The 24,359-nt window shown below is 45.1% G+C and overlaps 1 long non-coding RNA gene across 1 annotated transcript, besides 3 other annotated features; it reads left to right on the top strand.

The window, feature by feature from the left end:
• Positions 5,608-5,797: an enhancer, noted in NCBI's record as "active region_3242". NCBI's record gives its function as "activates an Ori minimal core promoter by ATAC-STARR-seq in GM12878 lymphoblastoid cells {active_cell/tissue: GM12878}" and the evidence as "EXISTENCE:reporter gene assay evidence [ECO:0000049][PMID:35858748]".
• On the top strand, positions 6,046-20,411 carry MACORIS (macrophage enriched lincRNA repressor of IFN-gamma signaling). The gene is made up of 2 exons (NR_184023.1): positions 6,046-6,187; positions 20,146-20,411. It is a non-coding gene; the product is annotated as a macrophage enriched lincRNA repressor of IFN-gamma signaling (long non-coding RNA).
• Positions 17,723-18,284: an enhancer, noted in NCBI's record as "H3K4me1 hESC enhancer chr10:31984137-31984698 (GRCh37/hg19 assembly coordinates)". NCBI's record gives its function as "activates a minimal SCP1, AML or CMV promoter by ChIP-STARR-seq in naive H9 embryonic stem cells {active_cell/tissue: H9 hESC(naive)}" and the evidence as "EXISTENCE:reporter gene assay evidence [ECO:0000049][PMID:30033119]".
• Positions 18,285-18,846: an enhancer, noted in NCBI's record as "H3K4me1 hESC enhancer chr10:31983575-31984136 (GRCh37/hg19 assembly coordinates)". NCBI's record gives its function as "activates a minimal SCP1, AML or CMV promoter by ChIP-STARR-seq in naive H9 embryonic stem cells {active_cell/tissue: H9 hESC(naive)}" and the evidence as "EXISTENCE:reporter gene assay evidence [ECO:0000049][PMID:30033119]".
• Positions 20,412-24,359: the final 3,948 nt, after the last annotated feature.

Genomic DNA, 24,359 nt, shown 5'->3' with positions numbered 1-24,359 from the left:
CCATAAATATATACAACTACTATGTACCCACAGAAATTAAAATTAAAAATCAAATAGTTAAAAAAAAAGGGTATCATTCCATTTTCCTTTGCCTCTGTACTTTTTCTCTGGTCGCTCTGTTTTTGTTTGTTTTTTTTTTCTTGAGACAGGATCTCACTCCATTGCCCAGGCTGGAATGCAGTGGCGCAATTATGGCTCACTACAGCCTCAACCTCCTGGGCTCAGGTGATCCTCCCACCTTACCCCCGCTAGTAGCTGGGACTACAAGCGTGTGCCACCACACCTGGCTAATTTTTGTATTTTTCGTAGAGGTGGGGTTTTGTCATGTTGCCCAGGCTGGTCCTCAACTCCTGGGCCCAAGTGATTCACTTGCCTTGGCCTCCCAGAGGGCTGGGATTCCAGGTGGTTGCTCTGAAGATTGGCTCTTTATATTGATTTTCAGTAGTTGGCCATGATGTGCCTTGGTGTGATTTTCTTCTCATTCATCTTGCTTAGGATTTTCTGAGTTCCTTGAATTGATTTGGAGGAAATATTGGCCATTATCTCTTCAACTATTTTTCTTTCCTCTTCTTTCTGCCCTCTCCTGGGACTCCAGTCACACGTATGTGGAACTGCTTAATATTTGATATTGTCTCACAGATCTCGGGTTCTTTGTTCTGTTGTTTTCACTTGTTTTTTCTCTTTATTTCAAATTGAAAAAAATTCTATTGACCTGTCTGTAAGTTTACCGATTCCTTCCTTTGCAAGTCCAGTGTCCCACTAAGTTTATCAGTTGAGTTCATTTCTAATATTGCACTAAAAAATTTCTAGCATTTCCATTTGATTCTTTCATAGCTTCCATGTCTCTATAAATTTCCTGTCTCTTCATGTATGTTTTCCGTGTTCCTACTAGATTCTTTAGCATTCCTACCATAGCTTTTTAAAAATCTTTGGCAATTCCAAAATCTGAATCAGAGACAATCTGTCTACTTCTACTGACTATTTCTACTCTTGATCTTAAATTACATTTTCATCATTCTTCATGTGTCTTGTAATTTTTGATTGATGCCAGCTATTTTGTATAAAAGAATAATAAAGAGTGAAGTAAATAATAGTTACCTCCAGGAAGGGTTACTAGAGTCGGGGACTGGGTTAAAATTTGTGTGGTTGGGTATGGATTTTTATTGCAGCTTTATTTTGATTTGGTTCACCAATAGATGCAAATATTTTAAGAGCATAATCAAGACTTTCCTTTCTCTGGGCCTTGGCAGTGTGAGTACTGGTAAAGTTCTGGAGAATTCTTAGTTCTTTATAGCTGAGCTTCCAGCTTTCTGAGCTTTACAGCTTGACCACCTTATTACCAGCATTTTGAGTTGTAGGCATTCTCTTTGCTTTCTGGTCTTGCCGCAGGCTTTTTGTACCTGGGAAGATCTCTGTCTGCCTGAAATTTCTGGAGCAATTTCTCTCAGCTGTCCTTCTCTGCCTTCTTCTCTTGGTAGCCAAAAGTCCACAGTGCCTCATGTTGATTTTTCTTGACTTTCCTACTCCACTCCCCTACCTTCATAGGTTAGCTGCCTTGAACTTGGTGGAGAACTCACACATCTCAGGCAGTATCTCTCTCACTTCTCCTGCCTTGCCTCCCAGCCTTTGGCACACTGCTCCTGAGAACCTCTTGAAATCTGTGGAAGGCATTACTGGAGGGGAGCACCCTAATTCTGTGCATGGGACACTAATCTATAGAATGCCAGTCCATACATAGTTGTTAAAATTTTTTAGAGATTCAGCTGGTTTCTCCTTGTCCTCAATTATCAAAGATTCTTCCTCCTCCTGACACTTTAGCAGTGCAGGGGTAAGAGCAGCTGTAGGAATCTTATCTCCTACAAATAGTTTGTCATTTTTGGGAGTTGAATTCATTTAGGTTACTTTGCATCCTCAGTTCTCTTTGGGGTTCAGAAAACCTATTGTTTAGTTTATCCAGGTTGTTTTGGCTGTTAGGATGAGAGCAAGGATTTCTTGGAATTTTTTATATCGTAACGTGAAGCAAAACTCAACATAAAATAATTCATTATCATCACCACCCAAATCTTTTATCTTTTAATTTACTTTATCTGCTATGGATACATCATAGATCCATTAAAGCATCTCATGGCAATTTTTTTGTCAATAATTTATGTATTTGTAGTTTTTTACTTTATGTATACTGTTATCATATCTGGTGAATATTCCAGATTATTTTGCTCACAAAACAATAGATTGAATACATAAATCCCCAAATGGCTTTTTGGCACACCCCTAAACAAACAAACAAAAACATGCAAAAATAAATAATTACATGTAAATCCAGTTAATTTGACCTTTGTGAATGTAAAACTGTTGTTTTGATTTTTTGATTTACTGATTTGCTTTAAATTCTACTTCTGCTATATTAATATTGCCGATTTTCTTTTCTCTTTGCTCATGTTTCTTCTTATTTTTGGCTACTGCAATCCTTTTATATTTAGTATGTTTGGGCCATTTTGTGTTAGATATAACTCTTTTTGTTTTGTTTTATTTTGTTTTTTTTTTTTAGACGGAGTCTCACTCTGTTGCCCAGGCTGGAGAGCAGTGGCATGATCTTGGCTCACTGCAACCTCCACCCACCAGGTTCAAGGGATTCTGATTCTCCTGCCTCAGTCTCCCAAATAGCTGGGATTACAGACACATGCCACCATGCTCAGCTATTTTGTATTTTTAGTAGAGATGGGATTTCACCATGTTGGCCAGGCTGATCTTGAACTCCTGACCTCAAAAGATCTGCCCACCTCAGCCTCCCAAAGTGCTGGGATTACAGGTGTGAGCTACCACACTTGGCTTGTTTTAGATATAACTCTTGTAAGCAGAAAATTGAAGTTTGCTTTTTCAGTTCAATCTGAGGCTTTGGAGAAATATAAGCCATTTATATTTATTGCTATAATTTGATGCTTAGTATGACTTTTTATTTACACACTTATCAAATATTTATTGAATATTTTTCTTAAAGCAAAAACATGAACAAAGTAAAAGTCTTTGTCTTTTGGCAAAAGTCTAGTAAATTATGAGTCCACTAATAATAGTTTTATTCAGGGAAAAGGAAAGCGTGATAATGAGAGAACTGACTCTGACAAAAACTGATTTTAAGTTCTAATCTATTATTCAATTGAATTTATATAAGAATGCAAAATATGAGTATCTTATTTTTTATGGTTACATAAAGGATTTTTTTTCTTTTTCAAGTGATATGTTGTGGTATATATGACATCTAAAGGAGTTTTCTTGAATTCTCTATCCACAGTACCATGTTTCTGGAAGAATAATTTTATCTTTGTAGCCGCTTTGGATCATTTCAATTTGATTTCAATATAATTTTTGCTTACAGACTGGGGATAAGGATAAGACATGTTATAGAATACTATTTTGTAGACCAATTAACTGTTTCTACTCTAGAAGGGGATCATCTGTTTTAAGTGAACAAAAAAGAATTTCCATCCAATAGTTAAAAAGTTTTTTTATTCTTTGGGGTCTGAGGAGAGAAAATTTTAAATAGACTACTTTAGCTTTTTTTCACCTCTGGAAATAGAGGAAGTTGTCTTTTATAAACCTCTGGCTGGCTAGGTTAAACATGTAAGGCCTAGAAGAAGATGGTTTCTGCTATAGCCTTGCTTAGGGTGGGAAAAGGATTTTGAGCAGTGGATCTGTCACTGTCTGTAAGAAGGGATGAAGGAGAATACCATCTGCTTGGACTTTTTGACAGAAAGCCAAGGATAAGTAAATGTTGCAGATCTGAGGTCCTATCTTCTGATGGACTCACAGAAGCTAGTGGGGATAGTGGGCCTGGAATTCCAACCTCAAGGCCCAGGACTCTGCTGCATTTTGCAGCTGGAGTGGGAGTTGGCAGAACTCAATTTCTTTGCTGAGAGCAAGTAGCAGTTCAGACAAGAAAAAGGACCTGGATTTCCTCAAGTCTGTAGCAGAGTCAGCTTTTTCTGGATTAAATTGATCCCCTTTCTCCCCATTCCCTACCTCCACATGGCCTTCAGACAGGCATGGTTGCTGACCTTCCTTACCCTCCTCAACCCCTCTACCCTGTGGACCTAGGGTCACTTGGGTATTATATTATACATAAACCTAATAGACAGCCAGCACAGGAGCCTGCACCAATTTAGAGCTCACAGTCATAGCATGACCATATGTCCCAGTTTGCCTGGGACAGTCACCATCTACACCTGTCGTTCTGGCATCGTTATTAATAGCTCTCCTTTTCACTCTCATCGGTGTCCAGGTTTAGACAATAAATTATATGGTTACTCTAACTTTTCATCTGAGACAAGGCACATTCTTTGGTTTATACTGACACCTGTAGGCATACAAAATGGCTTGGGAGAAATGGAAAAGTGGAAGGCTCTCCCTTTCCTCAGTCTCTGGGATTGCCTCCAGACTCTGCTGAGAACCCCAATTATTTGGTGTGATTCTAGAAAGGGGCAATGGAGGGGGAAGATTTCTCCTTGAGGCTGCTACACACTCTGCCACCATAAATGTCCAGGGTTCTACAAACACTTAATACTCCAGAAAGGATGTTTTGACCACTCCTGTTGGTGACAGGAGTCACCATCAGTTTCAGGTCAAACTATGAGACCCCATGGCTGCGTGAGCTTTGTAGATGTTCTCTGGATGGGAGATACAGCCATGCATGGCCCGCCCTTGGGGATCAGCAGTTGTCTGCAAAATGCAGGAAAAGCATCATGTGGACGACATAGGACTACGAGCCAGGGGATTTTCACAGCTGGAGAGGCTTACAAGGAGGCTCGAGCTGGTCAGTTTCAAGGTTTCTGGGCCTGCGTGTTGGAAATTAGGTCACCCTTAGTCTGCCTTGACAAAGAAGACACAGGACATTGGAGGGTGATGTGAGATGCAGTACACGAGGGTCTTACCCTCTCATCTCCCCCGGGTTCCATCACGACACCTGGACTCCAATCTGAACATCAGAAACAATACAAAGCACTTTTAAAAAATTAAATTCAGAGGTCGGGACAGCTTGGGCAGGACTAATTTGTGTGCTTGGCTGTCACAGTGATGGATTTGAGACAGATTAACCCTTGGGCTCCTGGGCCCAGCAGCCTGGGATTGGGTGGGGGGGTGCATTTTCCCTGCATGAAATTACCTTTGTGTAGGGCCCTCTGTCCCAGCAGATGCTGCTCCCTTCTGTTCCCTCACACCCCTGGGCCAACTGTTGTAAACCCCAGAAGAGTGAAAAGAAGCAATTGCCAAGATAAGAAAGCAGGCTTGCAACTGTGTTTGTCCTACTCCGAGTCATTCGGGGTAGGAAAGGGAAACACAGGATGTCTGACTTCCAGGTATTCTTGTAGGTTTTTACGGGGGCTTTTGTTTTTGTCTTTTCTTATTCTTATATTTTTTTAAGACAGCCCTGTGTGGTGAAGTCTCTAGTAAGATAGAAACCTAGGGCTTCACCAGTTCCCTCTGAAAAGGGTTTGAACTGGATTCTCTCAGACTCCCTGTGAGAAAATCCCAGCCATGCCCCCTGACCCTTGTCTTGGGGCTGTGGGGGCTGGGCTGGCTGCCTTCTGGCTGACACTCTCGGAGCAAGCAGACCATAATGAGTCAATTCTCTGCTGTCTGCTATTTAAAACAACGGGTTCCTTCCTGTTTCCTACGCGCTGACTGAGGCGTCTTCTGTGTTAGAAAAAAAAAAGAAACTCAGGAATAAAGTGCCTCCTCTCACAATGAATGGGCTACACATTTCGGCCCGCAGTGACACAAAAGCTCCTAACTGTTTCATCTGTACAGATGGCTCTCATTTGGTGTTGGTGGCATGACTCTGTGAGGTAATTTCCCACATACTTGGTCCATTTAACTGGAGGAGGGTAAAAACCTCCTCTAAGCCAAGTTAGAATCCTCCAAGAAATAGAATTGCTCTTAGCCCTGAGTGTGAAATTTTTGCAGAAGTCCCTGAATTGCAGATGTTCCCTCCAAGAGGGAAGGAGGGAGAGTGCGCAATCTCCCTGGTCTGAAGTGAGAACGGCCTATGCTCTCACTCTTTGTTCCCCTCCCCAGGGAAATCCAGTTACCCACTGGGAGTGAGCTGCCCCCTAACCCCGCATGACCCTGTTCCCCGGGAGGGGCAGCCTGGGGAGTGACAGGCATGACCTCGATGGTGGGCCAGGGGCCTCCTCAGGTGAGTCTTGACCTAACTTTGGCTCTTTCTCTATTTCTCAAACTAAGTGGGAGGGATGTTCAGAGGGAAGCCAGGTTCCCTTGGTTATGCAACACTTGAGTTGCAAATTTCAGTAGCAATATAGAAGGCAAAGCAGTTCTGGCTTTCTTAGCGACACCACCCAGCTTCCGGGTCCAGAGGGACACTAAGATGATTATCTCTCTGTGTGCACAGCTCGGTGACGCTGGGGGCCCAGGCTTCCTGGGGGAGACAGACCAGCCTTAAGAATGCTCAGGAATTGCTGGGACGTTGGTTCATTCACTCATGCAGCAAATGTACTGGTCCCTGGCACCAGCTGCAGATGCAGAAGATGAGCACGTCATGGCTCCCTCCTGCAAGAGCTGTCAGTTTTTGGATGGTGGGAATGTAAGAGACACATCAGGGAAGCAGGTTTCATGGAGGAGGTGCTGTTGGGCCAGGTCCTGAAGAGAAGGGCTAGGACTATGTTAGGCTGAAAGGGAGGATGACATTCCCAACAGAGGGAATAATAGGAGGAAAAGCACAGAAGACATATACATGTGGTATGTTTAATAAATGTAACAAGCATCAGTGTCATGTCTCAAGTGCAAATGTTGGCACTCTGTCAGGGACTGCACGTGTGAATAACTAGATGGGCGTGGCCAGAGTATGGTGTATATGTATGTGTGTGTGTGTGTGTGTACATGTGTGTGTATGCGTGTAGCAGGAGGCCTGTGAAGGGGTATAGGACCAGAGGCTTGAAAAGACATGCTAGAATCAGACTGAGAAAAGTCTGTTAGCAAAAGGAAGCCCAAAAAGAAGCTTTAAAAAGCTCAAGATCTACAAGAGTTGGTTGGTTCGAATGAGATAATCAGGCTTGTATCTTCAAGTGCTCATCCTGGATAACATCTGGGGAAGGGGTTGGGAGGGTGCAGTGGGCAGGAGGCTAAGGACTAAGTAGGAGTACTGGAGATGGGGACACCCCCTTTGTGCTTGGGGGTGGCATGGGGAAGGGGAGGAGGCCCCCGCTGGAGTGGCAGGAACGATATTGGAGCACTTACTGAGGTGCTGAACTTTGGAGCAGCTCATCCAGGGAAAGAAAGTGAGTTCATTGTTGTGAATTTGGGCTTCCAGAGGGACAGCAGGACCAAGCCCATATTGCAGGGCTGTCAGGCTTTGCAAACCCACGGATAGGCATGTAGAACCCCCGAGACAGGGAAAGATCCTGCATGAATGAGAGGAAGGCCAGGAAGGAAGCGGAGATGGAAGAGATCAGTGCCTAGGGCCCAGCAGGAAAACAGGTGGCCAACCAGAGAGCTGGAATGGGGAGCAGAGGGATGGGGGAGCCTGGGGTCTGCAGCAGTGAGAGGTGGGCACAGAGCCAGCCTGGGGGGTGAATGGCACAGGACACTAGAGAGGCAGGACGGGCCTCATGACTACTGCCACACATTCCTTCTGCCTCTTGGCTTGGGTTTGGAGAGACAAGACTCAAGAGCTGGTGGAGGTTGGCAGTGTGGAAGGCAGAGGCTTGGAGACCAAATTGGGATGAGGAGAGAGACATGGGTTCCCTGACACCCTCACCCAAACTCAAACCCCAAGGCCAGCTCCACAGCCCATGCCTGAGCTTCAGCTCCTGAATTCAGGAGGAATTAATGTTCTCAATGCCAATATGGAGTGCCCCCAGGTACCAGCTGAGGCTGTTCTAGGGCAGCTTTGTCAGAGATGCCTACATTTTCTTGGTACCATTCCCATAAGAATGTTGGGTACTTCCTGCTGTGACCCTCTCAAAGCACAGGGCTTTCCTTTTTTCAGTAGGTTTTGACTTAAAGCCAAGGAAATCCTCGTCGAAAGGCCCTCTTGACCACTTACTGGCCACAGGACCTTGAGCAACTCAATAACCTTCTCCAAGCCTCTTGGAGTTGCTGTGAGTGAGTGAGCTAACATCCATGGCACTCCACACTGCCCCAGTCCACATGACCCCATGAGGGCAGGCATTGTCCTTGGTTTCATTCTGTCATGTGACCAATGGTTACAACAGTGTCTGACACATAGGAAATGCTTCGAAACATATCTGATGAACAAATGAATGAATGGAGCATCCTTTCATTCATGAAATTACCTTTGTGTGGGGACCTCTGCCCCAGCAGATACCTAGTATTCTTCTGGCACTCAGGAAAAGTGGAATAAATGTGCATTTCCTTTCTTCCTTATTTTTTTTCAGCCCCATTTGCTTCCCTTTACCCCACACCTTTCTGTCATCTTGGTCTCATTTTTACTGCCTTCCTCCTCACCCTTCCCAACTCACCTCTCATCGTCTCTCACTCTCACTTTTATAAAAAGAGGAGCAAACAGTGGCTTGGTCACACTCTTAGTATTCTCTCACAAACACTTTTTATTCTTTATATGACCAGTCTGAGACTTTTCCAAATATTTCTTTTCTGCTTCCCTTTTAATAACAAATTTCATCTTTACATCATTTATCTTCTCTTGAATTTTACTATATGCAATTCAAAGAAGCCACACAGCACCGTGAATGCTTTGCTGCTTAGATATTTCTTCCACTAGATATCGTAGTTCATTGCCTTTAAGTTCTGCCTTTGTATTAGTCTGTTCTCACACTGCTATAAAAAAATACCTGAGACTGGGTAATTTACAAAGAAAATAGGTTGAAATGGCTCACAGTTCTGCAGGCTGTACAGGAAGCATGGCTGGGGAGGCCTCAGGAAACTTAAAATCATGGCAGAAGGTGAAGGGGAAGCAAGCACCTTCTTCACATGGCAGAGCAGGAGAGAGGGTAAAGTGTGAAGTGCTACACACTTTTAAACAACCAGATCTTGTGAGATCTTGGCTTGGGTTTGTCTATCCAAACCCAAGCCAAGAGGCAGAAGGGATGTGTGGCAATAGTCATGAGGCCTGTCCTGCCTCTCTAGTGTCCTGTGCCATTCACCCCCCAGGCTGGCTCTGTGCCTACCTCTCACTGCTGTAGACCGCATGCTCCCCCTTCCCACTGCTCCCCATTCCAGCTCTCTGGTTGGCCACTTGTTTTCCTGTTGGGCCCTAGGCACTGATCTCTTCCAGAGAACAACCAGATCTTCTGATCACTATCAGAAGAACAACAAGGGAGAAATCTGCTTCCATAATCCCAATCACCTCCCACCGGGTCCCTCCTTCAACATTGGGAATTATAATTTGACATGAGATTTGCATGGGGACACAGAGCCAAACCATATCAATCCACCCCTGGCCCCTCCCAAATCTCATGTCCCTTTTACATTTCAAAACATAATAAAGCCTTTCCAATAGCCCCCCAAAGTCTTAACTTGTTCCAGCATTAACTCAAAAGTTGATGTTCAAAGTCTCATCAGAGACAAGGCAAGTCCTTTCTGCCTATGAGCCTGTTAAATTAAAAACAAGTTAGTTACTTCCAAGATACAATGGAGGAACAGGCGTTGGGTAAATGCCCCCAACCCAAAAGGAAGAAATTGGCCAAAACAAACGGACTACAGGCCCCTTGCAAGTCCAAAACCCAGCAGGGTAGTCATTACATCTTAAAGCTCCAAAATAATCTCCTTTAACTCTGTGTCTCACATCCAGGTCACAATGATGCAAGGGGTGGGATCACTAGGTCTTAGGCAGCTTTACCCCTGTGGCTCTGCAGGGTATGGCACTCCACACTGCCCCAGTCCACATGACCCCATGTGCTTTCACAGCTGCTTTCACAGGCTGGCATTGAGTGTCTGTGGCTTTTCCAGGCACATGGTGCAAGCTGTTGGTGGATCTACCATTCTGGGATCTGGAGGACAGTGGCCCTTTTCTTACAGCTCCACTAGGCAGTACGCCAATGGGGACTCCATGTGAGGGATCCAACCCCACATTTCCCCTCTGCACTGCCCTAGTAGAAGTTCTCCACGAGGGCCCTGCTTCTGCAGCAGACTTCTGCCTGCACATCCAGGCATTTCTTTACGTCCTCTGAAATCTAGGCAGAAGCTCCCAAACCCCAACTCTTGCCTCTGTATACCCACAGGCCCAACACCACATGAAAGCCACCAAGACTTGGGGCTTTTACCCTCTGAAGCAGTGGCCCAAGCTTACCTTGGATCTTTTTAGCCATGGCTGGAGCTGGAGTGGCTGGGATGCAGGGCATCATGTCTCAAGGCTGCACAGAGAAGTAGGGTCCTGGGCCTGGCCCATGAAACCATTTTTCCCTCCTAGGCCTCCGGGCCTGTGATGGGAGGGGCTGCCGCTAAGGTCTCTGAAATGCCCTGGAGGCATTTTCCCCTTTGTCTTGGCTATTAACATTCGGCTCTTCTTTACTTATGCAAATTTCTACAGCCTTGAATTCCTCCTCAGAACATAGGTTTTTCTTTACTATTGCATGTTTAGGCTGAAAATTTTTGAAACGTTTATGCTCTGCTTCCCTTTTAAATATAAGTTCTAGTTTCAGGTCACTTCTTTGTTTATACAAATAAATGTGGGCTGTTAGAGGCAGCCAGGCCATATCCTGAATACTTTGCTGCTTAGAAATTTCTTCTGCCAGATACCCTAAATCATCTCTCTCAAGTTCAAAGTTCCACAAATCTTTAGAGCAGGGGCACAATGCCTGCCAGTCTCTTTGCTAAAGTATAGCAAGAGTGACCTTTACTCCAGTTCCTAATAAGTTCCTCTGTCTGAGACCACCTCAGCCTGGATTTCACCGTTCATGTCATTTTCAGCATCTTGGTCACAATCATTCAACAAGTCTCTAGGAAGTTCCAAACTTTCCCTCATCTTCCTATCTTCCTCTGAGCCCTCCAAACTGTTCCAACCTCTGTCCATTTCCCAGTTCCAAAGTCACTTCCACATTTTCAGGTATCTTTATATCAATGCCCCACTTCTCTGGTATCAATTTTCTGTATTAGTCTATTCTCACACTGCTATAAAGAACTACCTAAGACTGGGTAATTTATAAAGAAAAGAGGTTTAATCAACCCAGTTTCACAGGCTGTACAGGAGGCATGGCTGGGGAGACCTGGGGAAACTTAGAACCATTGCAGAGGGTGAAGAGGAAGCAAGCACCTTCTTCCATGGTGGAGCGGGAGAAAAAGAGTGAAAGGGGAAGTGCTACATACTTTTAAACAACCAGATCTCATGAGAACTCACTCACTATCACAAGAACAGCAAGGGGGAAGTCCGCCTCCATGATCTAATCACCTCCCACCAGGTCCCTCACAACCAGGTAGGTAATCTTTAAGAAGTTTTAGTCTTTTTCTGCATCTATTCTCTTGTTTTGAGCCCTTGCCAGAATAATCATTAATGCATTCAAAGCATTACAGGCTTTTTCCAGCAGTCACTTCAAAACAGTTCCAGCATCTACCCATTACCCAGTTCCAAAGCTGCTTCCACTCTGGTCTTCTCAAGGACTCATCTGGAGAGCCAGTGATTGCTGAAAGATGAGGTTTTCCTTATGCTGGGCAAGGAAAGCCCCGAACAGTGACAGGCTCTTTAGAGAGGAAATCCTCCTGGGCCTCCTGCCTCCCAGGCCCCCCGGAGTGCTGTCTGGGAGTCTCCAAGACTGTCCCTTCAGCTCTGGCTAGAGAACTCTCCATCCTTGGGGCCATGGGATCCCCAAAGCCACGGTTTCTCACGGCTGGGAGGAGAGAGAGAGAACGTGGCTCAGGGAGGCTGGCAGGGCTCTCTGTGTGGGACCCCACCCAGGCAGGGCAGAAGAGGAAGACAGTTCTAGAGCCTCTGCATCAAAGATTACAGGCTTCTTGCCATATCTCCAATCACTGTTCCCCTTGTTCCAGGCTGCAGTTGGCACATGAACCCATGGGCCATCAGTTGCTTTTGTTTTTAAGATCTAAATATCGTATTTATGACTAATAAAACTGAGTGGAGAATTACTAATAAAACTGGCCTTAGATCTGCAGCCCAGAGGGCATTCAAATAATCTCCATTCCCTCCTTTAATTGAACTTGTCCCCCAAAACATCAAACCCGCCCTCTTATTCTTCAACCATAGGGTACAATTAGTTTTTACACAAGCACCCCACACAATGGGGAGACCCAAGAGAGAGAGTCGGGGAGTGTTTATGAGGTTTATTGAGGGGATTAGGGGACCAGAATAGAGGGGAGGAAACAATTCTGCCGGTGGAAATCCTTTCTCTACTTAAAAAAAACTCACCACACACAAAGACCACAAACAAAACCCCCTGTAAGAATTTTGTTTTGAAAGCTGTTCCCTGCCCCAGGTCAAAGAGAAGGAAAGAAGGGATCTGGGCTTTGCGGGACACGGCTCTCCCACCGTGGCGCCCACTCTCTGGTTCCCTGTCTTTTCCCTCCAGGAAGTTCAGGTGCCTCAGCCTGGGTTTCATTTGAGCTTTTAAATAATGAACAGTTGTTATCCTTGCCCTCATTCGTTACATTTTTTAAAAAGCAAAATAAGCTAAACAAAGCAGAGAAGTATGCACCTAAAAACCTTTCTTCGACAGCCAGAGAAGCAAGGAAGGAAAGGCCGCCTACCATTTATTTTTTATAAACATCATACTAAATAACACGGATTTCAACTTATGGCTATAAATAACATGCGATGTTTTCACTGCAGATTTCCCCAGGCCCTAAAGCTATTTCAGTGGAACCTGCAGCCACCCTGTCCTCCCATCGCTGCTCGAGGTCCGGCGTTACCTACGCCTCATTGTTTCTAGAAGTTGCATTTCTGTATGTTGCTCAGAATTGGTTTGCATGCCGGACCCTTGCTTTCCTGTTTTTGCCTCCTCCCACCCTGGGCCACCCCATCCCATCCTCGTGATCGTTGGGACGCCCCCTCGCCTGCCCAGCAAGGACACTTGATGGAGAGGCTGCCGGGTTATGGCTTCCTTCCTTAGCTGGCTCGCAGGCCCGTGGCCCCACAGATGTTCTCCCTGGGTTTGTTTTGATAGCCCGTTTTAAAAACAGTTCATATCCACCAACTGTTCAGATAATAGTATTCCAAGTGGCAAGCAACTGTGATTATTTTTGTCGCTGTTTACCCTGACAAGCACAGCTCAGCTGGAAAATATGGGGCCGGGGGGAATTCCCCTTCCTTGCTCTTCTAATTGTTGCCCATATTTGCCATAAGGAAGTTGCATTTTTGACTTTCTCTCACATTGAGCCCCATGTTCCCTGGGAAGGAGAGAAGAAGGCGAGAGAAATCAGATGGAGAAAATGCAGTATGGGGCCTATTGGAATCGATAACCCTCCTTCCAAGTCAGGCTGTTTCACTATCAACACTAAGAGGAGTTTTTGTGCACATGTGTGTGGTGACATAAAGAAAGCCTTGCTTGGGGTAGAGCTGGTACTTTGAACTGGCTCTCTCTCCAACATCTCAGACATCCCAGGCCTAAAATCGAACTTCTCGTTTGCCTATCCAGTTGCAGAAACACCTGTGGTCTCCCGTAAAAGTGCAAAAGACCCCCACTCCTTCCCCAGGTTCCCAGAACAGGCCGGCTGGTCCCTCTGACTGTTCCACTCCTCTGACCTCCAAAGTCAGTTATTTGTCAAGCCTGGCTGATTTTCCCGGGACTTTAAAAAATTCTCTTGCACCTATCCCTTCTTTTCCAGCCACACCACCTGCCCCACCGACAGTTGGCCCTTTCCCTGTCCCCTTTATTGCAGCGGTAATTTCAACCACATCCTGGCCTTCCATCCCTTTCCTCCCATTTCACCCTCATACCATGGCTAGGCCTAGCTTCCGAAAGCTTGACCCTGTTGCCACTTACCTGCTCAAAAATGCTTAGCAACTTCCCACTGTGTGCAGCCTTTGTCTGGCTTTCCAGGCCCTCCACGCCCTGGTCCCTGCCTGATCTCTCTGCTTCCCCATTCAGATCCCTCCCATGGTGTGCCCAAGCTCAGGATTTCTTGAACACACCTGTGCTTTCCAGCAGGGCTGCCACGTGGCTGATTCCATGGCTGCCCTTCCCTTCACTATTACCTGAATGTGCTTCCTAGAGGTGAATATGGTTCAGCCTGTATGACCAAATGGCCCCCAGGCCTTTGAATATGCTGCTTCCTCATTCTGAAGTGCCCTCCTCTCCCAGCTCCACCTGTCAAAATCACACTATTCTTCAAATGCCACTTCTTCCATGAAGCCATTGATGGTGATTCTTGCTGGAAAGGGCGGCTCTTGATCATGAAAATCTGAAAGACATTATATTGGAAGTGTTTATAATTTTCTTTGTATTTAGATGTCAGACTTTCTTACATAAAACCCAAACCTCCTTAAGAATAAAGGCTGTGAATTACTTTCCTGCATATAATCTGCTGTGCCTAGCAGTCGATTTTTGTTGGAGGAATGAAAGAATGAATGATTTATTTTGGGCTTGGGCGTGTACATTTCACTGATGACCCCTGGGTGCATTTAAATTTAGCACACCTGTCAGATCTCTCCTCATCCTTATTTGTTACTCTATGCTGCCAAGTTAGGTGGAGGATAGGGTAGGAACCTGGGGATGTTTTCTTCATTATCTACAGTCACATAATCACGAATCACAGATTCTCAGATACGAGCAAGTCCATCAGATACTGACGGCCCAGTGTTTTGCAAATGATTGCTCAGAGCTATGAGTCCCAGGACATGGGGGTTGTGCAGCAGAGGGAGGCTGTAGGAGAGGGAGCTTTGGGATTTTGCTCCTGCTCCAACCAGATCAGGTCTGCTTGTGTCTGTTTCACATTTTGAGGTCTGGTGGAATTTATCTTTACCAGAGGCCAAAAAGAATTTTTATGAAAAACAAAACCAAACCATAGATATAGTCCAAGTTGATAAAAATCCAAAACTTAAGAAAATGCCTGTCTAAACCTATCTGGAGGGATCTCAAAGAAAGTACATTCAACAGCTTGTAATCTATAGCAATCACCCGCACCATCACAGGATGGCCCCACAAAACAATCGTCAGACGCAAGACGTCCATAAGAGTCCAGGAAAGAGCTGGAGGAGACGAGTCACGCCAGGTTTTAGCTCCAGTTACGCCAGGAACAAGTTGTGCAATGCAGCGAGTCCTTTTTCCTCTCTAGACTCAGCATCTCATTTAAAAGCATGGCCCTAGCAGCCTAGGCTGGGTGGCTCAGTGGTTATTAAGGGCACAGGGAGACCTGAGTGGCACCAGCACAGCCCAGGGAGCCACTGAGAGAGGAGAGGTGCCCAGCAGTGACACAGCCAGCAAGTGTCTGCACAGGGAAGAAGCACCGAGAGCTGGTCATTCTGCTCTTAGCCTGAACTTGGTGATCTCAGAGGCCCGGCCCAGCTCTAACATCTGTGACTCAGCTGGCAGCCGCGTGGACCCCGTTGCTGGGGGAAATGCTGTGTGCACATTTATTCTGGGTTTGGATATTTAAAGAGCCGGGTGTGTTGAGGGACATTTCGGAAGTGCTTGGGGAGGGAGGGGACTGCAGACTGGGCTTTTCTTTAAACACTTATAGATATCCTGTCTTGATCTCTCGGTCCACAAAGAGTAATTTTCTTTCCCTAAGAAAGTGACGTGGGTCTTGCCCATTGTGTCCGCCTCGCTGGCTCCCGGCTGCGCAGCCCAGCAGGAAGCAGGTGGCCTGAGGTGAAACACATGCCCGGCCCGGCTCAGGCCATTTCTGGGTTCCTGTCCAAGGGCAGCCTTGCTCCCCACAGGGAAAACTTGGCATGCCCCCTAGACTGCTGGGCACCTGGGGCACAGGGCTGACCCTCCACCTGGGAGGAGAAGAATGGAGCTCTCTCTGAGCCCCCAGGGGTCCTGGCAAAGGTGGCAGCCGTGGACCCTGGGGACATGGGGCAGCCTGGGCTTCCTCTTCCGCACTTGCTGTTTTCACTGGCTCAGGAAGCTCTGACTGCAAGCTGGGATTTTGTTTCCAAATCCCTGCGTCATTTTTACTATTTGAATTGCCACTTTGGGCTGCTTTTAGGGAGGTGGCTCTTTTGTTGCTTTCCTCACTCAGGATGTTGTTTCCAGTAGATTTCCTCACAGACTCCGTCTGCTGCCTTTGTTTTCCCTTCTGGGCACAAACACAGAAATCTTCCAGAATGGAGACTGCATCAGTGAATCGGACCTGCCGTGCTGTGAGCCAGCACAGTTTAATTTTTCTCTTAGGACATTTATTGTTTTTTATTTCTGCTTTCAGAGGTCATTGTGTCTACATGCTCATTATAGCACATTTGAAAAATATGGGAAACACATATAGGTGATATAGGAGGAAAATGAATATCACCCATAGGCTCAGTAGCCAGAGATCTACCTAGAATTCCGGTGATAATTTTTGTTTTGTTTTGTTTTGTTTTAAATTGGGCTCATACTGCACACATTGCTAAGGAACCTGCTGCTTACACCCAACCCTGTATCCTTAACACTGTCCCATGCTCTTTTATTTTTTGCAGACACAGTTTTTTGTTTTTGTTTTTTGTTTCGTTTTTGTTTTTTTGACAGAGTCTCACCCTGCTGCCCAGGGTGGAGTGCAGTGGCCTGATCTCTGCTCACTGCAACCTCCGCCCCCCAGGTTCAAGCAATTCTCCTGCCTCAGGCTCCCAAGTAGCTGGGATTACAGGTGCACAACACCACACTCGGCTAATTTTTGTATTTTTGGTAGAAGATGGGGTTTCACCATGTTGGCCAGGCTGGTCTCGAACTCCTGACCTCAAGTGATCCTCCTGCCTCAGCCTCCCAAAGTGCTGGGATTACAGGTGTGAGCCACCGTGCCAGGCCGCAGACACAGTTTTTAAGTCCCTACAGCTCTCCTTTGGCCTTGCCACCAACAATGCTGTGTCAAAGACGTTAGCCGGTGTGAAGGAGGAACGAGGACAGGAAAACAGAGTATGTCACACAATACACATCTACATGCAAAGCCCAGATGGGTGAAGTTGTGGGTGGCTTTTCTTTTCTTTCTTCTCTTCTAGAGTGTGCACATTTTTCTGTCACAAACACAGGAGAAGAGACAGAATAATGTGGTGATCGGAAGCGCAGGCTTGGGCAACCTGCTGTATGGGTGCAACTCTGCCACTAACCAGATGAGGTGCTTAATGGCAGTGTGCCTCAGTTTCTTCATCTCTAAAGTGTGAACAATAATGCTACCTGCCTCACGTGTCAGTTTTGAAGATGCAGGTGAAGTCCAGTAAATACCCAGTACTCAGTGACAGTTATGGCTTTATATGAACATTGTGATCATAAAAAGTCTGGGCGGGCACAGTGGCTCATGCCTGTAATACCAACACTTTGGGAGGCCAAGGTGGATGCATTACCTGAGGTCAGGAGTTTGAGACCAGGCTGGCCAACATGATGAAACCTCGTCTACTAAAAATGCAAAAATTTAGCCAGGCACGGTGGCTGGTGCCTGTAATCCCAGCTACTCAGGAGGCTGAGGTAGGAGAATCACTTGAACCCAGGAGGCAGAGGTTGCAGTGAGCTGAGATCGTGCCACTGCACTCCAGCCTGGGCAACAAGAGTGAAACTCCATCTCCAAAAATAAAAATAAAACAAAATAAAAATAAATAAATAAAACATCTAAAAGTCCCTGCTATGGGCTGAATTTGGTCCCTACAAATACATCTGTTGAAGTTCAACCCTCAGCACCTCAGAATGTGACTGTTTTGGAGACAGCATCCTTACAATGGTAATTAAGTTAAAATGAGGTCATTGGAGTGGGCCCTAACCCAATACTGCTGTGTCATAACAAGAAGATGCAGAGACATCAGGGATGCGCTTGCACAGGGGAAAGGCCATGTGAGGACACAGCAAGAAGGCGGCTGCCTCCCAGCCAAGGAGACAGGCCCCAGGAGAAACCCAACCTGCCCACAGGTTGATCTTGGACTTTCAGCTTCCAGAACGGTGGGAAAACAGACTTTCATTGGGTAAGCCACCCAGTCTGTGGTACTTTGTTATGGAAGCCCTAGCAAAACAATGCAGTTCCTTAACAAGAACATCAGTGTCATAGTTGCTCATCTAAGTGCAGTGCAGAAGCAGGTGATATACCCTAGACAAGTGGAAAACAGCTCGACTGCGGGCCCGGCAGTTCCTGCCCACCAGCCTCCCCTCAAGGCGAGCCCCCCCTCGCCTTTGCAGGGTACCCGGTGGCTGCAGGATGTCCTCTGGCTGCGCAGAGCCCCCAGGCTCTTGCTTCGCCAGGTCTGTCTCTTCCAGGCAACAGGGTCTTTCTTGGCTTCATTTGGAGGGCAAGAGCTTCCTCCTCCTTCAGGAACCTTGGCTAGCCATTTCCAATACAATACCTGCGTCTGCACTTGAATGAAGTGGTTTTCCACCCTCCAAAGACCAGTGGGAGAGTTTTCATGCATGGTCCATTTGAATCACTGACATGATGTGCTCTGAGCGTGGAGTGTTGGATCTCAGACTCAGGCATAGAAAGGGGGCCGCTGGAGGATGTATGTGCAATGCTTCCTCAGATTATGAAAGCACAGCCAGCCTTCTGTTGGAAGCACAGGACAAGTGTTTGCTGGGTAAGGATATTTTCCATCTTTGCAAACTGTGGGCCAGCTCTTTCTCCTTGGCTAGGTAGATAACCAATGCACCTTGTCTGCTAAGTCAGCCTCTCTTCATTCCTATTTTCTCAGTAGACAGCCTTATAAATCTGGCTAATAACTCCCATTTCATTTCCCCAAACTCCATTAGAGGGAAATTATAATGAAGCTCAAATACTCACCAGGTTATTCATGGGAAGGACCTTTGGCTTTTTAAAAATGCATTTTAGATGGCTGGATTAATCTAGTGGCACATTACAATGCAGCCCTGCTGAAGTTTGCAGGAGATTCCTGGCACCCGGCATTGTGCACTGCACAATGCCGCCAAGAAGCGTGAATTATCTTTACAGGAAGAGGCAGGAATTAATATGTCAGATGGAAAAGACCCACTGGCAGCACCTGATGAAAACCCAGGACTCTGCTCCCTGTCAAGGTTCTGCAAGGTTGGAGTCATAATCACACAACTCACAAGCAAACGCCCTGAGCAGGCTCCTCTCTGCAAAGGGCATAAGGGCAGAACAGCAGAGAAGTGACACACTACCCTCTCCATCTGGCCCTGCTCACCCACAAGCGTTGGAACAGGAATATTTGTAGCCTTGGAAAGAGGCACTTACCAAGATGCTTAATTGATGATAGGCACATTGAGAAAAAAATGCTGATTTCATTCCTTTTATTACCTCTCTGGCACAGCAAGTTAATTAAAAAGAAAGTACGATTGCAGCTTTGTATTCATTAACCAGGTTGATTTGTAATGTAAATATATGCATTTGTATGGTGCATACATCAAAGTAAGAATAACAACAATAATGATAGTATCTGTCACTAAATGAGCTCCAGATCCCAGGGAAGGAGTGATCGGCAGATTACTTACAACCCTTCCAACAACCCTGTTCAAAGGGTTATAAATAATGTTGGCCTTACTGGGACCAACAGTATTACATTTATTTTATTGATGGAGAAACTGAGGCTCAGAGTAGTTAAGGAGTTTGCCTGAGGTCACACAGCTAATGTGTGGTGTGCTGGGATTCGGTCTACGTGAGGAAATAATACATTTGTGGCAGAGTGAACTGAAACTTCTTTCTGCACACTCCCGCCCCAATCCCACCATCTGCCTCAACCTAATCCTCAATGTGGTCATGAGAAAAGCCCCGTGCAGTGGAGAGAAGCCAGATTGACTGCCACTATTCACTGTTGTGTAAAATGAGGAAGCTCTGGAAGTCACTGGAGCAGGAAGGAGCATAGGAGCCCTTAGCACGGGAATGGCAAGGACAGTGTGGTTATTTTGCAAAAAAATAGCTCCTTCATGTTAATATGAAGAACACACTTTTCTCGTACAGATTAAGTGGGTTGATTTTTGGAAGGGCAATACTCCTTCCGGTGGTGGATTGTGTTTGGTTTCACATACCTCAGGAGAAAACCAATCACACTTGAAGTGAAAGACCAGCTCCATTTCCCCTCCTTCCCATTCTAACTTTGTTACTCCTTTATTCCTCCAGAGGAGCAAAGAGAAGCTTGGTGGAAGAGAAAGCCGCTAGTATTCAGCGAGAAGATCACTCAAATCCTTCACCAGCATGCTCAGTGAAGAATGCATTAAAAAAATTAGACTTTTTTTCTTCCTGGCAACAAAATCTTGCCAAAATAAGTACCAAAATAAGTGTTCCAATGGTTTTATTTGGGGAAAGCCAACGCTTTCCCCAAAAAGACTTTTTCTTGTTTCTCATTTGGCTGCTACAAATAAAGCTGCAATGAACATACATGTACACATCTTTGCACGGAAGTAGCTTTCTTTTCTCTTAAGTAAATGTAGGTGTATTTCATTTTATTGTACTTTGCTTTCTTGTGTTTCTCAGATGTTATTTATTTATTTTGCAAATTGAAGATTTGTGGCAATCCTGTGTAGAACAAGTCTATCTGTACCATTTTTCCAACAGCATGTGCTCACTTTGCATCTCTGTGCCACACTTGGCTAATTAGGGAATACTTTAAACTTTCTAATTACTATTATATTTGTTATGGTGATCTGTGATCAGCGATCTTTAGTGTTACTACTATAATTGTTTTGTGGTTTCATGAATGGCACCCGTATAAGGTGGTGAACTTAATTGATAACGCGTTCTGACTGCTCCACTTACCAGCTGTTCCCCCATCCCTCTCTTTCTTCTAAGGCCTCTCTATTCCCTGAGACAAAACATTATTGAAATTAGGCCAATTAATAACCCTACAATGGCCTCTAAGTGTTCAAGTGGAAGGGAGAGCTACACATTGTATTAATCCATTCTCACATTGCTATAAAGAACTATCTGAGACTAGGTAATTTATAAAGAAAGAAGGTTTAATTGACTCACTGTTCTGCAGGTTATACAGGAAGCATGGCTAGGGAGGCCTCAGGAAACTTACAATCACTGTGGAAGGTGAAAGGAAAGCAGGCACATCTTCACATGTGGACCAGGAGCAGCAGGGAGATGCTACACATTCTTAAACTAGCAGTTCTTGGGAGAACCCTATCACAAACAGCACTAGAGGTAGGGTACTAAACCATTAGAAACTGCCCCCATGATCCAATCACCTCCCATTAAGCCTCAATATCAACATTGGGGAATATAATTTGATGTGAGATTTGGGCAGGGACACAGACCCAAGCCATATCATTCTGCTCTGGCCCCTCCCAAATCTCATGTCCTTCTCACATTTCAAAATATAATCATAACTTCCCAATAGTCTCCCAAAATCTTAGCTAGTGTTAACTCAAAAGTCCACAGCCCAAAGTCTCATCTGAGACAAGGCTAGTCCCTTCTGCCTATGAGCCTATACAAACAAAACAAGTTAGTTACTTCCAAGATACAATGGGGGTATAGACATTGGGTAAATACTCTCATTCCAAAAGGGAGAAATTGGCCAAAACAAACGGGCTACAGGCTCCATGCAAGCCGAAACCCAGCAAGGCAGTCATTAAATCTTAAAGCTCCACAATAATCTCCTTTGACTCCATGTCTCACATCCAGCCCACACTGATGCAAGGGGTGGGTTCCTAAGGCCTTGGTCACACATCTCTTGCTTTAAATCAAAAGCTAGAAATAATTAAGGTTAGTGAGGAAGCCAAGTCAAAAGCTGAGATAGTCTGAAAGCTAGGCGTCTTGCACCAAACAGCCAAGTTATGAATGCAAAGGAAAAGTTCTTGAAGGAAATTGAAACTGTTACTCCAGTGAACACACAAGTGATAAGAAACAGAAACAGCCTTATTGCTGATATGGAGAAAGCTTGAGTGGTTTGGATAGAATGGATAGAAGATCAGACAAGCTAAAACATTCCCTTAAGCCAAAGCTTAATACAGAAAAAGGCCTTACTCTCTCCAATTCTGTGAAGGCTGAGAAAGGTGAGGAAGAAGAAAAAGTTTGAAGCTAGAAGAGGTTGGTTCATGAGGTTTAAGGAAAGAACCATGTCCGTAACATAAAAGTGCAAGGTGAAGTAGCAAGCACTGATGGAGAAGCTGCAGCAGTTATCCAGAAGATCCAGCTAAGAAAATTTGAAGATAGATACAATAAACATCAGATTTTTTTTTTTTTTGAGATGGATTCTTGCTCAGTTGCCCAGGCTGGAGGGCAATGGCGCAATCTTGGCTCACTGCAAGCTCCGCCTCCCAGGTTCACGCCATTCTCCCGCCTCAGCCTCCCAAGTAGCTGGGACTACAGGCACCTGCCACCATGCCCGGCTAATTTTTTGTATTTTCAGTAGAGATGGGGTTTCACCATGTTAGCCAGGATGGTTTTGATCTCCCGACCTCATGATCCACCCGCCTCGGCCTCCCAAAGTGCTGGGATTACAGGCATGAGTCACCGTGCCTGGCCAGATTTTTTTTTTTTTTTTTTTTTTGAGACACAGTCTCACTTTGTCACCTGGGCTGGAATGCAGTGGTGCAATTAAGGCTCACTGCAACCTCCAGCTCCTGGGTTCAAGTGATTCTTTTACCTTGGCCCCCTGAGCAGCTGGGACTACAGGTGCCCACCACCATGCCCAGCTAATTTTTGTATTTTTAGTGGAGACAAGGTTTTGCTGTTTTCTAGGCTGGTCTCAAACTTCTGAGCTCAAGCAATCTGCCTCCCTTGGCTTCCCAAAGTGCTGGGTTTATAGGCATGAGTCACTGTGCCTGCCCCAGATGTTTGAATAGAGATGAAAACAGCATTCTATTGGAAGAAGGTGCCATCTAGGACTTTCATAGCTACAGAGGAGAAGCCAATGCCTGGCTTCAAAGCTTCAAAGGACAGGCTGACTCTCTTGTTAGGGGCTAGTGCAACTGGTGACTGGAAGTTGAAGCCAATGCTCATTGGCCATTCAAAAATCCTAGGGCCCTGAAGAATTATGCCAAATCTACTATGCCTGTGCTCTAAAAATGGGACAAAAGAGCCTGGATGACAGAATATCTGTTTACAGCATGGTTTACTGAATCTGTTAAGCCCACCGCTTAGACCTATTTCTCAGAAAAAAATACTTTTTTCAAAGTATTTGCTGCTCATTGACAATGCACCTGGTCACCCAAGAGCTCTGATAGAGATTAATGTTGTTTTCATGACTATAACACTACGTTCATTCTGCAGCCCATGGATCAAAGAGTAATTTCAACTTTCAAGTCTTAATATTTGAGAACTACATTTTGTAAGGCTATGGCTGTCATAGATAGTGATTTTTCTGATGGATCTGAGCAAAGTAAATTGAAAACCTTCTGGAAAGTACTCACAATCCTAGACGCTATTATAAACATTTGTGAGTCACAGGAGGAGGTCAAAGTATCAACACCAACAGGCGATTGGAAGAAGTTGATTCCAACTCTCATGGATGGCTTTGAGGGGTTCAAGACTTCAGTGGAGGAAGAGACTGCAGATGTGGTGGAAGTAACAATGGCACAGAGTAAGAAGTGGAGCCTGAAGGTGTGACTGAATTGCTGCAATCTGATGGCAAAACTCGCATAGATGAGGAATTATTTCCCATCAGTGAGCAAAGAAAGTGGTTTCTTGAGATGGAGTCTACTCCTGGTGAAGATGCTATGGATATTGTTGTAATGACACCAAAGAATTTTGAATATTCCATAAACCTAGTTGATAAAGCAGTGGCAGAGCTCAAGAGAATTGACTCCAAATTTTAAAGAAGTTTCACTATAGGTAAAACGCTATCAAACAGCATCACATACTACAAAGAAGTCTGTTATGAAAGGAAGTCGGTTGATGTGACCATCTTCACTGTTGTCTTTATTATTTGCAGAAATTGCCACACCCACCCCAGCCTTCAGCAACCACCACCCTAATCAGTCAGTAGCCATCAACATTGAGTCAAAACCCTCTGCCAACAAAAATAACTGAGTTGACAGTTATTTGCTTTCAGCATTTGGAAAACGTTGTGCCATTTCCTTCTGGCATCCATGATTTCTCATGAGAAATCTGCTGTCATTTGAATTGTTTTTTTCCCTATAGGTAAGGTATTGTTTCTCCCTCTCTGTTTTCAAGATTTTTTCTTTGTCTTTAGTTTTTAGAAGTGTGACTCTGATATGTGTCAGCATAAATTTATTTGAGCCTAACCTTATTGGGGTTTGTTCAGCTTCTTGAACCTGTAAGTTCATGTATTTTGTTAAATTTTGAAATTTTTCAGCCATATTTCCTCTAATGCATTTTCATCCCTCCTCTTCTCATTTCAGGACTCTGAAAGCATGAATGTTAGATCT

Source organism: Homo sapiens, chromosome 10 (genome assembly GCF_000001405.40).
Source record: "Homo sapiens chromosome 10, GRCh38.p14 Primary Assembly".
Taxonomy (NCBI): Eukaryota; Metazoa; Chordata; class Mammalia; order Primates; family Hominidae; genus Homo; species Homo sapiens.
Note: the sequence above shows the minus strand (reverse complement) of the source record. Positions and strands in the feature narration are given on the sequence as shown.